This window comes from Homo sapiens, chromosome 18 (assembly GCF_000001405.40).
Source record: "Homo sapiens chromosome 18, GRCh38.p14 Primary Assembly".
Taxonomy (NCBI): domain Eukaryota; kingdom Metazoa; phylum Chordata; class Mammalia; order Primates; family Hominidae; genus Homo; species Homo sapiens.
The window spans coordinates 50,042,991-50,060,771 of record NC_000018.10 but is presented as its reverse complement, the minus strand read 5'-3'; the positions used below and the strand labels follow the sequence as shown (position 1 = coordinate 50,060,771).

Below are 17,781 nucleotides of genomic sequence, written 5' to 3'. Positions count from 1 at the left end.
CAGGCTCTTGTCATAGTTGGCCACCCCCTCCAGCTGTGTATGTAGGAGAACAGCTGCTGGAGCTGGCCCTGCAGTGGAATAAAGGAACAGGTTGTTGGAGAATAGCTTGGTACTAATGCATTTACATTTGATGTAGGCATCTGCCTTCTCTAGGAAATATGTGGGGCTCTTTTCAAAAGAACTTTCCAAAAATCACAAGCTTTTCTTTGATAATTGGGTCAGACTTGCTATTTTATTTACTTTGATATGAAGGAATTAAGTGTTGTTAAAATAGGATAGTGACAAATTGAGTGGTATGGTAATTGGGTTGTATGAGTGAGTTTGTCTGTCTTATAGTCTGTTGGCTTATAGTAAATCTGGTAGTGGTCAGATTTGTTTGAAGACATTCCTTGAAGGTGAGAAAAAATTAAGAGGCAACACAGATCTTTGGTTCTAGAGAGTTTGGCTGGCTCATAAAATAATGGCCTTCTGTGAAAATATTTTACTGCTTTTTCATAGACTAGTAATGTGAACCGATGCCAGGAGAGAGCATGTACAAGATACTGTTTGCAATCTCTACAACCAGAACAGTGTGTGTGTGTTTAAACTGAGAAAAAATTTACATAATATAAAACTAACCATTTTAAAGTGAACAATTTGGCTTTTAGTACATTCAGTGTTTGCAACCACCATCTCTGTCTGGTTACCAAAACACTTTCATCGCTCCAAAAAGAAACCCTTCCCCTCCGAATCCTTTCTGTCTCCAAACCTCAGGTCATGTCTGCCTTCCTCAAGTCGTTCCCAGCTACTGTGGTCTTGTCTCTCCCTTCTTAGTTCATGTGTCTGTTTCTTGGCCATATATTTTATACTCATCATATACTGCTTTGTACTTGATTACAGAAGCAATGCATCTCGCAAAGCCAGCATATGAGGCAAAATTTGATTATGGTTAAAATTACCCTTGGAAGATCTATAAATTTCTCATTATATGCAGTATGGATGACATTGGGTAAACAGCCCTGCTCAGTAATTTATAGACACTTTAAACTGAGAATCCATAAAGTAAGATAAAAGTGAGGAGGCAGAGCGGGGAGGTGGCAGCTGGCAGCTGTGAACCATCCTGCACAGAACAGGGGGTTCACTTCATTCTGATTTAACAATGAACTGCTATAATCTCAATGTGTTCCACGTGTCTTTATTGTGGAGATTGACTGGACACATATCTTGTGCCCAATATTTACTAGATTTGCATCTAAAGCTTGCTTGATCAGATCTGCATATACAAAATCCTTTTCAACATCATGGAAGAATTTGGCTACCAACTTTCTCTCTTCCAAAGTCGGCATTAACTTGTTTTCCCCTCTCTCCCTGTCTTCCTTCTCTCCACTGGATAGATGTTACTCTCCTTAGGAGTTGGTCACATCACCCCATTAGGGCATATTTTTATGTGAGTTATCGACCCAACTAAATATACATCCCTTAGGTTCAGGAGCTACATCTCCATGTTCATACTTTGTTACATGGTACTTATCACAATGTGTTTTAGGTATAAACCAGGTGCCCCATGAATGCACATTCTCTGTTCACTGATTCCTATACTCAGCATGAACATTTAGTGAGCATCTGTTCCGTGCCAGGATGTGCTAGATCCTAGGGATACAAAGATGCCCAACAGTATATTTGGAAGATCTTGCTGTAATGAGGTGAAACTGATGTGAAAGAAATGACTGCAAAACCAGAAGGAAAGATAATCATAGAAGAATTTATAGTGGCAGCTTATGGTTGGGTAGGGCTAACTCTATAGGGAACAGGGAAGGAAGTGATCAGTGAGGAGATGGTGCTGGAAGTTGGACCCTGCCCACATGGACGAGTAAGGTAGGGCACTGTGGCCTGAGGAAATAGTAAGTACAAGGACAGAGGTTGGCATGCTTTCCTGTAAAGGATCAGATAGTAAACATTTTACTATGTGTTTTTTTTTCTCCGAGACAGAGTCTTGCTTTGTCACCCAGGCTGGAGTGCAGTGGTACAATCTCTGCTCACTGCAACCTCCGCCTCCCGGACTCAAGCGATTCTTCTGCCTCAGCCTCCCAGGTAGCTGGGATTACAGGCACCCGCCACCACGCCCGGCTAATTTTTGTAATTTTAGTAGAGACAGGGTTTTACCATGTTGGCCAGGCTGGTTTCGAACTCCTGACCTCAAATGATCCACCTACCTCGGCCTCCCAAAGTGCTGGGATTACAGGTGTGAGCCACTGTGCCCGGCCTACTGTGTTTTTAAAATGGCTTTGAACCATAGGGTCTCTGTCATTACTTTTTGTTTTTTGAGACAGAGTCTCATTTTGTTGTCCAGGCTGGAGTGCAGTGGCACAATTGTAGCTCACTGTAACCTTGAGCTTCTGGGCTCCAGGGACCCTCATGCCTCAGCCTCCTGAATAGCTAGGACTACAAGCATGTACCACCACATCTGGCTAATTTTCTTTTTTAAGTTTTGTAGAGACAGGGTCTTGCTATATTGCCCAGGCCAGTCTCAAACTCCTATCCTCAAATGATCTACCTGCCTCGGCTCCCAAAGTGCTGGAATGATAGGCATGAGCCACTGCACCTGGCCTTCAATTCTAGCATTAAAATGTGAAAGTATTAAATAGATAATACATCAATGAATGAATGAATATGGCTGTGTTCCTAGGAAACTTGATTTATGGACATCAGTATTTGACTTTCATGTGATTTTTTTCATGTTATGTGAATATCCTTCTTCTGAGCTTTTTTCAACCATTCTTAACTCATGGGCTATAGAAAAACAGGCAACACAGGCAGTGTGCTAGATTTGTCCCATAGCTGCAGTTTGCTGACATATTCTCAAAGGCAGGGGAGAGTGAGATGATGTTGCAGGAATGGAAGAGTAAGTAGTTAGTATGAGGATTCTGATGTGGTGAGTCTGGGGGAAGCTGAAATTCTATGCTTCTAACCTGCTCCTAGGTGATGACGATGCTGAGGTCCTCACCTGGAGGAGCAAGGAGCTAAAGTACCATTGGGGTCCCACTGTGCCCCTTATGTTGTGATAGGTTTTGTGGGTATGGGACAATATGAGAAGCCAATTGTATGCCTACCAGGTGCTCTCAGTCTCTTTAGAGAGGAGAGATTTATATAACTAGAAAGGTACATGAACTCCCCTAGAATAAAAGTTGAGATCAAGCCAGGCAACGAGATTCTTCAGTGCTGGATGCAACTAACCACCCCACGAGTGGCATATGGGCCACAGGGTGATGGCCAGCAGAGTCCTTGGCTGAGCTGGGACTAGGCTCCCTGGCTTCCAGGATCTACACAACATCACCTCCGTTCGGTTCCTGTTGGGATTTTCCTGTTCCTTTCTGGTTATTCCTCATTCTGTTATCTTGAGCCATTCCTGGCATGATTTACATGGAGTGGAGACTTTGCTTTAGGTAAAAATTTCTTGGGTATGCTGGCTGAAGGGGGAGTCCCAGGAGTGGAACTCAGTGACAAGAGAGCTGTGGTGAGGCTGAAGGACAGACACTCACCTGAAGCTTAGGGACAGCAGCTTTAAAGGTCATCACAGCTGGATGGATGGTGGACTTAAGCCATAGTGGAGAAAGTGAGGACACCTGGGGGTAGAAGAAATGTTGACAGTTAAGATCAGCAAATGCTCAGAAGGTTTTCTCTGGAGGTACCTCAGAACATTCCTTATATTTTACTCTGGAGCTCTCAGATGCAATAAAGCTCTTTGTTATTTTAAAGCTCTATATTATTTTACTATAAAGATATGATAATATCTTGCCATAAGGCAGCAGGCTTAAGAAGCAGGGAGAAGGTTAAGATTCTGTGAATTTGTTTCTTAGTAATGAAACAGATGACTTTGGCTTGTACCCTGAGTTGGGATGTCAAGGATGCAAAGTGGTTGATGTTTGCTTTCTCATTGACTGGTATTCTGATTCTGTTGCCTTACAACTTTCACTGTTCCATAGTATATTAGAGACAAGTGTAGGAGGAGTCAGGATCTTGCTTTAAAAAAAAAAAAAAGCCTCTGATTACCTGGAGGAAAACACTGCTTTGAAAAAAAAAGTCAGGACCAAAGTAAAGCCAGCTGGCCGCATGTGCACAGGTGACAGACTGGCCCAGGGTCTGTGCTCAGCTGTCACTCCAGGAGTGAAGTGGATGATACTGACCCAAGCACATGTTCTGGTTGAGCTTTTGGTCAAAAGAACCAGTTGTTTCAGGTTTCCTGATAATATTCTATGGCCAAAGAAGCCAGATGTATGTGTGTGTACTGACGGCTTCTACAGAAAATAGGCCCTGTGGAAGTTGCCTACCTATGAGATGAAAATGCAGAAATTGTTCTGACAGCTGTGCAGTAGGATCCCAGGAGATCCAGATGCTGCCATTCAGCACTCATTAGTGTCTCTGGGAGCTTTTATGTCACCTCAGATCCTGACTGAGTTGGTCTGAGGTACAGCCAAGAATTGATATTTTCCAGGCTCCCCAGGTGATTCTGACTGCAAGTAGGGCTGGGAACCTCCTAGTTATGTTGAGAATGTGCTGGGCAAGTCAGACAGTTAATCCTGTATCACTACTTTACCAAGGGCTGTGTTCTTTCCTGCCAGAACTTGGCCCCATTCAGTGACTTTGTCTGCAAATCAGGATAGCTACTTGGTGAAGGTGAGTGAAAGTTTTGGGTTTATGGCTTAAAGAATGGACAAATAGGCCTGGCATAGTGGTTCCTGTCTGTCATCCCAACACTTTGGGAGGCTGAGACGGGAGGATCACAGGAGTTGGAGGCTGCAGTGACCTGTGATCACACCACTGCATGCTAGCCTGGGTAACAGAGTGAGACCCCATCCGAAAAAAGAAAAAGAGTGGACAGATAAATTCAAGTGGCTGACAACTTGAGGATACTTAAATACACTTTCCATTTGCCGACCACTTTCTTTCACTTCTGCAGGAAAATGACTTTTTCTCTGAATGCAGAATATCAGCAGAGATTCCCAAGCTTTGAACATTTGCTATACTGTCTTGGCTTTTCCCTGTGTTGTTTTGTTTGTAGCCTGCTAAATAACTCCCTCTGACATTGCTATTTTGTAACACCCTTTGAGATAATGGTGCAATATCTAGTGTATATAAACAAATGCAGGCTCAACAGTCTCTTGGGTAGAATTTTAATTTCATTGATCTGCAACGTTCTTTTAACATCTAAAAGGTGCCCTCTGCTACCAGTCCTGTGAGTTGTTCCCCTGTTATCATGATATCGGATCACGTTGTGTCCTGAAATGAGAAGGTGGGGAGATGTGTGCAGATAGCTTTAGAAGTTCTCCTGATGGGCACTTTCTAGGTAGTGACACACATTTAGAAATCTGAGAGCTTTGTTCTGTATCTAAGTTTCTTCTGTTTTAATCTTTCAGTGCACAAGGGTCTGGATCCCTGACCCTGATGAGGTATGGCGCTCAGCTGAGTTAACCAAGGACTACAAAGAAGGAGACAAGAGCCTACAGCTCAGACTGGAGGATGAAACGGTAAGAGTGAGTCCGGGGCAGGGGGGCGGGGGTGAGGTGGGGCAGGGAGCTCAGGTGTGCAAGGAACAGGAGTAGATAGTACATTGTGGGCTGGAGTTTTCCCTGGACATTGGAGCTCTTGAGCCCTTGGATTCTTTCTTGTTGCTATTGATGTATGTGAAAGTGCTAAGCCAGGAAGCTGCTCTATGGATGTCACACAAAAAATAAGTGTTTATTGGGGTTAGCAGCTGAGAGATCATTGGTGATCAAGGCAGGAATCTTCAGTGGAGTGGAGGGAACAGGAGGTTGAGACCTCACTGGGAAGTGAGGGAGAGGAGCTGCTACAAGGGTCCCTGCAGGGCACAGTGGTTGGAGCCAGCCTGCCTGGGTTGGGATCCTGGCTCAGCCATCACTAGTTTTGTGACCTTATATCAGTTCACAATCTTTCTGTGCTTGTTACTTCATCTATAAAATGGGAGTGCTAGTTTATCTAGGGCTGTTTTGAGAATAAGATGGGTTAATATGTGGCAAGTACTTAAAACAGTGCCTGGCACATAAGTGCTCCCTATGTGTTAGCTGCTGTAGTGAGCATTTTTTATTTTTTGACCTTCAGGCTGTTTCTTTCAAGTGGAAGACAAGGTAGTAACTATGAAATTCTATTCCTCCTAATATGTCTGATTTAGTTTACCTTCTCATGAGCCTTTTGTGACCACTGCCTCTGCAACTGGTGCATTTCACAAATAATGGATGCTCACCCTATATGCTGTGCCAGGTCCCAGGGGGCAGATGGGTAAACGGTTGTGGCCCTGCTGTTTCAGATAGCTCAGTGCTAAAGGGGGGCAGTGAACATGAACACAAAAGGGAGACAAAGTATTATGATAAATGGCAGTAGGCATGGAAGTGAGTGCATGAGGTATAGGAGAGAAAAGGAACCCACTCTTTTTATTTTTAAAGAGATGAGATCTTGCTGTGTTGCCCAGGTGGGCCTGAAACTCCTGGGTTCAAGTGATCCTCTTCCTGCCTCAGCCCCTGGAGTAGCTGGGACTCCTCTTGAGGAGAGGGGGTTTTGGGAAGGAGCTGGCCATGGAAGATTCAGGGTGCGGTGACCAAGAGTAGGGTGTCCCAGGCAGGAACTGTGTGTGCCAAAGCCCTGAGACCTTCTTGTGTTCCAGGAAAGGGAAGGAGGCCAGTGCATCTGGGAGCTGTCGGGGAAGAGGACTGTTGGGTGGCTTCAGACTGAGGATGCAGGCAGAGGTAGTTCATGCAGGCTTTACGGTGGGGGAGACGACTGGGAGAAAAATAGGTTTGGAAGAAAATGGTTGGTAACAAATTAAGGGTTGGCTTTGGGATGGATTGAGTTTGGGCTGCAGAACAGACATTGCTTGGAGAAAAGGTTTGGGTTGGAGATACTGTTTCCTCTCTGAATGGCAACAGCACTAAAAGTGTGTACCATATCCTCTGATCATTTCCTGCCTATTCTTGGTCTTGTCTCCTTTTCTAGATGGTTGGTGATTAACTTGTTGATTGAACATCCTACCACTAACTTCTGTTTTGTATCAACTTAAGCATATCACTTGGTAAACCCAGAACATGAGCTTATTAGAAAACGTCTGTACTGAGGTGTGCACCCCTCACATTCCTCTTCCTAGTAGGCAGCTTTCGCTAGCCACCTCTTGCTTTTGAGATGAGAAGCACAACTCCCAACAGATGGAATTATGTTTACCATGTTGAATAACTTCCCACCCCACCCCCAGGAAAAAAAAATGAAATTAGTCCACCCACTTGAATGGTGTATCTTCTACTCTACTCCAGCAGATTTCGTTTCAGTTGATCTTTTCTAGTGGGTGGGTGTTTTTAAAAAGTTGCACGGAGGTAGTGAGGAATGATCTGCCATGTTGCTAAAACAGAGCAGATGCTCGCCCACCCTGCTGAAAACGAATTTGGCCCTGCATGACTAACTGTGGCAGCTGCCCAGACCCCATCTCCTCCTTCCCCTGCTACAAGGCCAGGCAGCATGTAATTGGAAGGGAAGCCTGGCTCTAGAGATTAGCAGTTCTCGAGAAATAATGGGCTCTGAACATCTGAGTCTGTCCAGGTTGCTCATGGGCAGTGGCTTGTCCATGGCTGGCTCTGAGCTATCATTATGAGTGACTTGGCAGAGCTGTGGACTAGAGGCAGGAGCACAGAAATTACGTGGCCACACTTTGAATGCAGAGAGTCTCCTCTGAAGCTGAAATTATCCATGGTGTACTATGCTGGCTGGAAAATCTGCCCCAGCAGCCTCTTCCAACCAACCTCGTGCATCCTCCCTCCCCCTGAAGTTCAATAGTGTGGGTTTCACTGCATCAGCAAAGGATTAACATCAGTTAGATTATCTTCCAGGAAGACAATGATATTCCTAACCTCTGACTTATGATAGGACCTTCCGCCTGCTTGCTAACTTGTCCCCTCTTGAAGACAGTCAAGCTTCTCTCCGTGCCTCTAAAAAGTTTTTTCACTCTGGTTTTCACTCATTCATTCATTCATATCTATTGTGGTAAAATATATGTAGCATAAAATTTACCATGCTAACCTTTTTTTTTTATTATACTTTAAGTTTTAGGGTACATGTGCACAATGTGCAGGTTAGTTACATATGTATACATGTGCCATGCTGGTGTGCTGTACCCATTAACTCATCAATTAGCATTAGGTATATCTCCTAATGCTATCCCTCCCCCCTCCCCCCACCCCACAACAGTCCCCAGAGTGTGATGTTCCCCTTCCCGTGTCCATGTGTTCTCATTGTTCAATTCCTATCTATGAGTGAGAACATGCGGTGTTTGGTTTTTTGTCCTTGTGATAGTTTACTGAGAATGATGATTTCCAATTTCATCCATGTCCCTACAAAGGACATGAACTCATCATTTTTTATGGCTGCATAGTATTTCATGGTGTATATGTGCCACATTTTCTTAATCCAGTCTATCATTGTTGGACATTTGGGTTGGTTCCAAGTCTTTGCTATTGTGAATAGTGCCGCAGTAAACATACGTTTGCATGTGTCTTTATAGCAGCATGATTTATAGTCCTTTTGGTATATACCCAGTAATGGGATGGCTGGGTCAAAAGGTATTTCTAGTTCTAGATCCCTGAGGAATCGCCACACTGACTTCCACAATGGTCGAACTAGTTTACAGTCCCACCAGCAGTGTAAAAGTGTTCCTATTTCTCCACATCCTCTCCAGCACCTGTTGTTTCCTGACTTTTTAATGATCGCCATTCTAACTGGTGTGAGATGGTATCTCATTGTGTGGCAGTCAGCAGCAACTCAGTGGTATTTACATTGTGTAACCATCACCACTCTCCTTCAGAACTCTTCCTCTTTTACAACTGAAACTTGGTCCCCATTAAACACCAACTTCCCAATCTCTTCTCTCCCCACAGCACCTGGAAACCTCCTTTCTACTCTGTCTCTGAGTTTGACGATCCCAGGTACCTCACAGAAGTGGAATCATACAGTATTTGTCCTTTTGTGTCTGGCTTATTTCACCTGGCATAATGTAAGATGTTTCATATTGAAGTAAACAAGATGATAAACTTCTTGGGGGAATAACATCTTATACCTTTTTCTCCCCAGAGCCATGATGGGTACAAGGTATCTAGGTGTGCCAACTCTTAGCACAAGACTGTTTTTAGAGTGGATCAGGCTTTCAGGGGATGCAAAACTTGGTGATGAGGTAGCTTCTGCATGCTCTGCCTGGAGCACCTCTGTGCAGGCCAGGCCTTCTCTCTCCTGGCCCCACCTCCCTTTTTGACTGCTTGACTCCTGCCTTCTAGTGTCAGGGAAAACTCTCCTTGTTTCCATGGTTTTTAATTTAAATTTCATTTTCCAACTGAGTTTGTATCTACTATCTATCACCCACCTTGATGATGAGTACTCCCTCTGGGCAAGGCCCTGACTTAGCATTCATGAGTGAGAGGAAGACAGGGGAGCATGTGAGCTTTTCAAAGAGTAACACACTCTACCGTCTCAGTATTTCCAAGCCCACCCTGACATTTGGAGGGCCAGGGCAAGAGAATGTAACCCTACATCTGTTTAAAGTATATTTTATCAAATTATTTAAATCTCATATTTTTAATTAAAAACATTGTTAAACATTTACTATTTTAAAAATAAAGATAGTTGCAATTCTATTCAGTTTCTATCCAGCTGCCAATATGTGGAATCACTATCTTGGTTTGGGCATGTTATACCTGCACATATGTGTAAACACATAAGAGTAGTATGAATTGTTCAGTATTGCAAAGCATTCCTCCTCTGTCATGTTGCAGAGGTTGCAAATACTTAGTACCCCTGGAACCACGACAAGAGCACGTGGAGAAGCAAGGACTTGGATGCTTGGCCTAATTGGAAAATGATAATCCATTATGTAAGAATCTTTTGCATGTGCTATCTGAAAGGAAGGATAATGAGTTTGTCCTCCCTTTTACCTAAGCCTCTTTGCTGTCTGATTCTTCCCCACACTCCAAAGCATCATTTCTCCAGTGCTGGCAGTGTTACAACCCATGAACCTCAAGGCAGCTGGGCACTGTTGTCTTATTTCAGAATCACAGGACAAGGTGTGGAGAAGCGTTTCTCTGAGGCCTGAAGGTGTTAGTCACCAGAGCGGCGTTGAGCATTTCAGGTCATGCTGTGACAGCACTGAATGTTGATCCCAAGGATGGAGGCACACCATGTATTCTTTAATAATTTATATTTTGTGATATTTAATGCCCTCTGCAACACAGTGTCAGGGAAGGGATCCCTCTTGCTCAGGTCTAAGGATGGTACTGAACATATGAAGACATTATAGCAAGGTCCTAATCAAACATGGTTCCTCATGTCAAGAAGCTATAGTCTCACAAAACCACTAGGACTATTGTCCTTGCATATTGGTGCACTCAGACTCGTTCACCTTGAGAATGCAGAGCCCTTGTGTACTCAGTGCAACTTAAATGCCTGCTGTGCACACATCTGGCAAAACCAGAGAGCTAAGAGTGTCTGAGGATACCCTTCTGGAGCCACCAAAGCTTCTTAGTAGAGGTAGAGTTTGATTACTTCTTCTTTTAGCTGGCCATTTTAGTTCTTATAATGCTGGTTTTTGGGTCTCCTAATAATTTTTTATTTTTATCTTTATCTTGCTTTCAGTTGCTCAGTTATGGTTATATTGTACACACACAAAATGTTTCAGCATAAAGTATAATGCATATAATTATCTACTGGTAATATTGCTACCACTAATTAGTCATCTTGTCTAAAGAGTCAAAGTGTAAAAAAAAATTGTGGTAAAATACACATAATGATTCAACATTTTCACTATGTTTAAGTGTACAGTTCAGTGGCATTAAGTATATTCACAATGTTGTGTGACCATCACCACCGTCTGTCTGCAGCTGAGTACCCTTGAAGCTCTAATTTATTGTCATTGACCTATTTTTCCTGCTAATTTTTTTCCCATAGATTAGGATGCTTTGCCCAGCTGCTTCAGATTAGAGATGAGTGGGGCAGCAACTTGCACCCCTGCCCCGAACATTTGGCAATGTCTGGGCACAGTTTTGGTTGTCACAACTGTCATGAGGAGGATTTGCTACTGGCATCTAGTGGGATGCTTCTCAGTGCTCCGTAATGCACAAGGTGGCACCCCCACAACAGAGAACTATCCAGCCCCAGATGTTAACAGTGACAAGGCTGGGAAACTCAGGTTTAAGCCCATAAGGAAAGTGGTCTGGTCTGTCCATTGCTGGAGTACACCAAGTTAGGAGTTAAACTGTGGCTCTATGGTTCTGACAGAATGTGTAAGCAGTGGAATAAATTGAAGTCAAAAGATGAACTTTGACTCCATATTTTTATGCTGCTGTATTCTTGTTTATAATTCAAACCTCTTAATTGTGTTGACCAGGCAGTTTATCAGTAGCTTTTCATTTATAGACTTTTCTTCTAATTACTTGCATCACTGTTGATTTATCATTCATTCATTAAAAATTATTATTGAGCAATTATGTGCCAGAGTCTGATTATACAGCAGTAAAAATGACATATCTGTACCTTTGTGAAGTTTTCCATCCAACTTATGATGAAAATATACAATATAGGGTTTAGAATATGAAAAACTTAATTTCAAGAATCTGTAGAAGTCTTTCTAAAACAGTGGTGGCCATGGCAGGATATTTGATGCTACTCCACTCACCCTTGTATCTGAGTCTCTGAGTCCTCCAACTTCACACTTTTTTTTTTTTTTTTTTCCTGAGATGGAGTCTCACTCTGTTGCCCAGGCTGGGGTGCAGTGGTGCAATCTCGGCACACTTCAACCTCTGCCCCCCCGGTTCAAGTAATTCTTGTGCCTCAGCCTCCTGAGTAGCTGGGATTACAAGCGTATGCCACCACGCCAGCTAATTTTTGTATTTTAAGTAGAGACGGAGTTTCACCATATTGGCCAGGCTGATCTCGAACTCCTGAGCTCAGGTGATCTGCCAGCCTCTGCCTCCCAAAGTGCTGGGATTACAGGCATGAGCCACCATGACTGGCCCACACTCTTTTTGAAACCCTTTTGGATACTACTTGGATTTCCTGCTGACTTCTCAGAGCAGGAACGCTTAGGGTGGCAGAGATGATACCTTCATGCTTCGCCATGGTTCGTAGCTCCCTTGCAGTTCAGTGGGACCCTGTGATTACTTTTGTCGAGTGGGTGCTAAGTAGAACTGATGTTGATCACTTCAGGTGGAAGGAGAGACGAACCCACAGGAGTTTGCTGTGCCCTTCTCTTCCTCTGCCTGGTGACTGTCAGGCAGCATGTTGGTGTCAGTGTGACCTTAGAGAGCAGAGCCTCAGTACCAGCCAGCCTTGTGCACCTAGCATAAATGAGAAATAAACCTTTGCAGTATTAAGCCACTGAAGTTTCAGGGTTAATTTGCTACTTCCTCATAACTTAACTGAATTTCCTAATTGGGAAGGTTACATAAATCAGAGTATTTTATTTTTCAAGTAATTGAGTGCCTGTGCTGTGCTTCATGGTGCAAGAGGAAGAATAAGAAGGTTCTCTTTAAGGAGAATAAGCTTTCTGGGGATTGGAGAAGATGGTGATAAAACTTAAACACGGGACTGTTAGAGAATGAGACACAGCAGAACAGTCATTAAATGTTTGTGTTTTTTTTTTTGTACACTTTATTATTATTATTATTATTATACTTAAAGGTTTTGGGTACATGTGCACAACGTGCAGGTTTGTTACATATGTATACATGTGCCATGTTGGTGTGCTGCACCCATTAACTGGTCATTTACATTAGGTATATCTCCTAATGCTATCCCTCCCCCCTCCCCCCACCCCACAACAGTCCCCGGCGTGTGATGTTCCCCTTCCTGTGTCCAAGTGTTCTCATTGTTCAATTCCTACCTATCAGTGAGAACATGTGGTGTTTGGTTTTTCGTCCTTGTGATAGTTTGCTGAGAATGATGGTTTCCAGCTTCATCCATGTCCCTACAAAGGACATGAACTCATCATTTTTATGGCTGCATAGTATTCCATGGTGTATATGTGCCACATTTTCTTAATCCAGTCTACCGTTGTTGGACATTTGGGTTGGTTCCAAGTCTTTGCTATTGTGAATAGTGCCGCAATAAACATACGTGTGCATGTGTCTTTATAGCAGCATGATTTATAATACTTTGGGTATATACCCAGTAATGGGATGGCTGTATCAAGTGGTATTTCTAGTTCTAGATCCCTGAGGAATCGCCACACTGACTTCCACAATGGTTGAACTAGTTTACAGTACCACCAACAGTGTAAAAGTGTTTCTATTTCTCCACATCCTCTCCAGCACCTGTTGTTTCCTGACTTTTTAATGATTGCCATTCTAACTGGTGTGAGATGGTATCTCATTGTGGTTTTGATTTGCATTTCTCTGATGGCCAGTGATGGTGAGCATCTTTTCATGTGTTTTTTGGTTGCATAAATGTCTTCTCTTGAGAAGTGTCTGTTCATATCCTTCACCCACTTTTTGATGGGGTTGTTTGTTTTTTTCTTGTAAATTTGTTAGAGTTCATTGTAGATTCTGGATATTAGCCCTTTGTCAGATGAGTAGGTTGCAAAAATTTTCTCCCATTCTGTAGGTTGTCTGTTCACTCCGATGGTAGTTTCTTTTGCTGTGCAGAAGCTCTTTAGTTGAATTAGATCCCATTTGTCAATTTTGGCTTTTGTTGCCATTGCTTTTGGTGTTTTAGACATGAAGTCCTTGCCCATGCCTATGTCCTGAATGGTATTGCCTAGGTTTTCTTCTAGGGTTTTTATGGTTTTAGGTCTAACATGTAAGTCTTTAATCCATCTTGAATGAATTTTTGTATAAGGTGTAAGGAAGGGATCCAGTTTCAGCTTTCTACATATGGCTAGCCAGTTTTCCCAGCACCATTTATTAAATAGGGAATCCTTTCCCCATTGCTTGTTTTTGTCAGGTTTGTCAAAGATTAGATAGTTGTAGATATGCGGCGTTATTTCTGAGGGCTCTGTTCTGTTCCATTGGTCTATATCTTGTTTGTGTTTTTTTGTGCTTGTCTAGGACATAGCACAAAACAACCTTTTAATGCATGTTAAATGAACCTAGAGCCACATGCTTGCTACTGTAGTGAGGGTAAGTGGACTTAAGCTTTGAGGCCTCCTCTTACCTGGGAATAGAGTTTCCTTAACATTGTTTTTCTTCTAGGATAGCTGTTGTAATTTGACAAATGAGAAAACCCCTGCATCCATGGACCTAAGTTAAAAACCTTCAGCCAATGAAGTTGGAATGACCCTTGAAGATTGCTGAAACTAGGCTTCCCATCTTACAATTAGGGAAACTGAGTTTCCTGGAAGTCAAGTGATGGGCTCAAGGCCTTACAGAACTTGGGTTCAGTTTTTCTCAACTTTGGCTGTGCATTACAAACCCCTGGAGAACTTAAAAGGCAAAGCCTAGGTTTCAGGCAGACTAATTAAACAATCTTGGGATGGGATGTAGGTTATCTTTCTTAAAAGCTCTCCCAGGGATTCCAGTGTGCAGGGAGGGTTGAGAGCCACTGCTTTGATGGACCAGGAGTTGAATACAGGGGTTGACTCCTATTCGGTGCGATTTCCACCTCTGGGTCAACACCAACTTCTTGCCAGCTGGTAACCCTGTTTTTACTAGCATATCTTTTTTTCTAGATCTTCTGGTTCCATGGGTAGATAATAAAAGCCAATTCTTTCTCCTCTTCTGTCCACTGTATGATTATTATTAGTTCCAAATCTTTGGGAGTGTCATTCAAACATGTTTTTATGATTATACCATCTTGCTGTTGTACTATGTAACACAGACATAGATTGAGGTATGGGAGAAGTTATCAGTGAATCAGACATTTCACTCAACTAATATTTTTTGAGCACCTACTAAGTAGTATAGGATCATAGGCCCACAGGGCTTAGAACAGTCTAGGCCAGCGCTACCAATAGAACATTGGCTGTGGTGGAATGTTCTGTATCTCAGTTGTCTAATGTGTCAGTCATTAGCTACATGTAGTTATTGGACCCTTAAAATGTGATGTGAAAGAAAATATATTAACTCTTGGAGGCCAGGATCGTGGCGGCTCACACCTGTAATCTCACACTTTGGGAGGCTGAGGTAGGTGGATCACCTGGGCAGTTCTAGGCCAGCCTGGGCAACATGGTGAAACCCTGTCTCTACCAAAAATACAAAAATTAGCCAAGTGTGATGGCACATAACTGTAGTCCGAGCTACTTGGGAGGCCGAGGCAGGAGGATCACTTGAGCTCAGGAGGCGGAGATTGCAGTTAGTCAAGATTGCCTCATTGCACTCCAGGCTGGGCAGTAGAGCAAGACTCTGTCTCAAAAAGAAAAACTCTCAGGACTCCAAACTCACTGTGCCAAAGGGAAATTTAAGCTTGGGAACTGAGTCACGCAATACTACTTTCCTTCTGTTTGCAAACAGCTGTAATTTTGCAGCCCTGTGTCATAGCCTCATCTGTAAGCCATGTTCCCACAGTGATAGAAAACCACATTATCTCCCCAGGTGGCTTTCCTCACAAATTGCTTACAACGAAATTTCTTGAGTCCCTAAATATTCCAGGGTACATGTCACTCCTATAAACTAGGCATACAAAACTGAGTTCTGTTGACTCTTAACCGTGACAATGTCAATTACCAGCCTATCTTCACAGGTACAGCACAAGGACAAGAACAGAAATCATCCCTCTGCCTACTCTGAGACAAATGCACAATGGACTTTTTCATTTTCTCCCTCTTTTCACATGTAAAATATGGATTTACTGAGGCTAATCAGAGCCTCACAAGAATGTAACCATGTGTCTCACTGCCTACCCTCCCTCTCCCTCCTTTTTCCCCCCTCCTACTTGCTCTTTCCCCTTTAAATACTGAAGCTCCCAAACCCCCCTGGACAAAGCATAGGCTGCAGATCTCCTGCATCTTATATTTTTCCCTGCCGGCATCCTCAGCCTTGTGTAGACAAACCTCTGTTAATCGAGACCTACCTCAGTCACTTTGTATTAACAGTGGCTAGTGTGACTGAGAAACTGAGGTTTCAGTTGAATTTAATTTTATTAATTTCACTGAAATAGCCACATGGGGCTCGGGGCTACCCTGCTGGAGAGCTCAGGTATAGACCAGTTCCTACTCTAGGCCTCCTGCCACTCTCACTCATCTAGTCCTGCTTGTCAGGCAGGGACCAACTGGGGACCTCCATCTGTTCCTGATTCCCAGCTCCTAGTTGCAGAAAGGAGGCAAGGTCCACTCTGAGTGGTGACTAAGTATTAATTTTGTGAGAATTGTTAACATTTAGCCTCCTTTTCACCTCTAAAGGCCCAGTTATTATGGAGTGGATGGAATCTTTTGTGCCAGAAAGTTCATGGCTGCGATCACTAAGTCATAAACACTTAGATGTCAAATAAAACCATATTAGCTGTAAATGCCAGACACTAGCAGCAATATTAGAATCAAATTCCTGTTACAGAAAAAAAATCTGCTCTCAAGTCTCTCACTCCTGCCTTCCCTCTGGACGTCCACACATCCAAGAATCTGCACCTTTGGCTGCTGAGCTTGCAGCCCCCACCTCTTTTCTGCTGCTCTGGGCATTTTTACTCCTTATCAGTTTTACTGAAACCAATACCACTTGTTTATTTGCAGCTGCAGTTTTCACAAAACTGCATGTGTGTTTGCCTCCACGTGCTTTTTTTAAAAAAATTTTTTATTGCCATAGGTTTTTGGGGAATAGGTGGTATTTGGTTAGATGAGTAAGTTCTTTAGTGCTGATTTCTGAGATTTTGGTGCACCCATCTCCCAAGCAGTGTACACTGAACCCAATTTGTAGTCTTTTATCCCTCACTCCTTTTCCCCTAAGTCCCCAAAGTCCATTGTATCATTTTTATGCCTTTGCATCCTCATAGCTTAGCTCCTGCTTATGAGTGAGAACATACAATGTTTGGTTTTCTATTCCTGAGTTACTTAGAATCTCCAGTCCCATCCAGATTGCTGCTAATGCCATTCATTCCTTTTTATGGCTGAGTAATAATTCCACTTTATATATAAATATATATTTATATATATTTATAAATATATTTTATATATTTACATATTTATAAATATATTTAATATATTTATATATTTATATATATTTATATATTTATATACTTATAAATATATTTTTATATAAAAATATATATACTTATAAATACATTTATATTTATATATAAAATATATTTATATACTTATAAATATATTTATATTTATATATAAAAATATATTTATATATGTAAATATATACAAATATATTTAAATATTTAATATTTAATATATTTAAATATATTTAAATATTTAATATTTAATATATTTAAATATATTTAATATATTATATATTATATAATATATTTATATTATATATAATATAAATATATAAAATATATATTTTATATATTTATATTATATATTATATATAATATATAAATATAAATATATTTATAAATATATGAATATTTATGTATATATATATTTGTGTATATATACACACACACCACAATTTCTTTATCCACTCATTGATGGGCATTTGGGTTGGTTCCAAATTTTGGAATTGTGAATTGTGCTGCTATAAACGTGCATGAGCAAGTATCTTTTTCATGTAATGACTTCTTTTCCTCTGGGTAGATACACAATAGTGGGTTTGCTAGATCAAATGGTAGTTCTACTTTTAGTTCTTTAAGGAATCTACACACTATTTTCCATAGTGGTTGTATTAGTTT

At 41.9% G+C, this 17,781-nt stretch overlaps 1 protein-coding gene across 1 annotated transcript in view; it reads left to right on the top strand.

The window, feature by feature from the left end:
- MYO5B (myosin VB) overlaps nucleotides 1-17,781 on the top strand; it is a 372,359-nt gene that overhangs the window by 134,376 nt on the left and 220,202 nt on the right. The window contains exon 2 of the mRNA NM_001080467.3: nucleotides 5,394-5,504. Coding sequence (NP_001073936.1) covers nucleotides 5,394-5,504 — 111 coding nt within the window. The remainder of the gene's footprint in view (nucleotides 1-5,393; nucleotides 5,505-17,781) is intronic.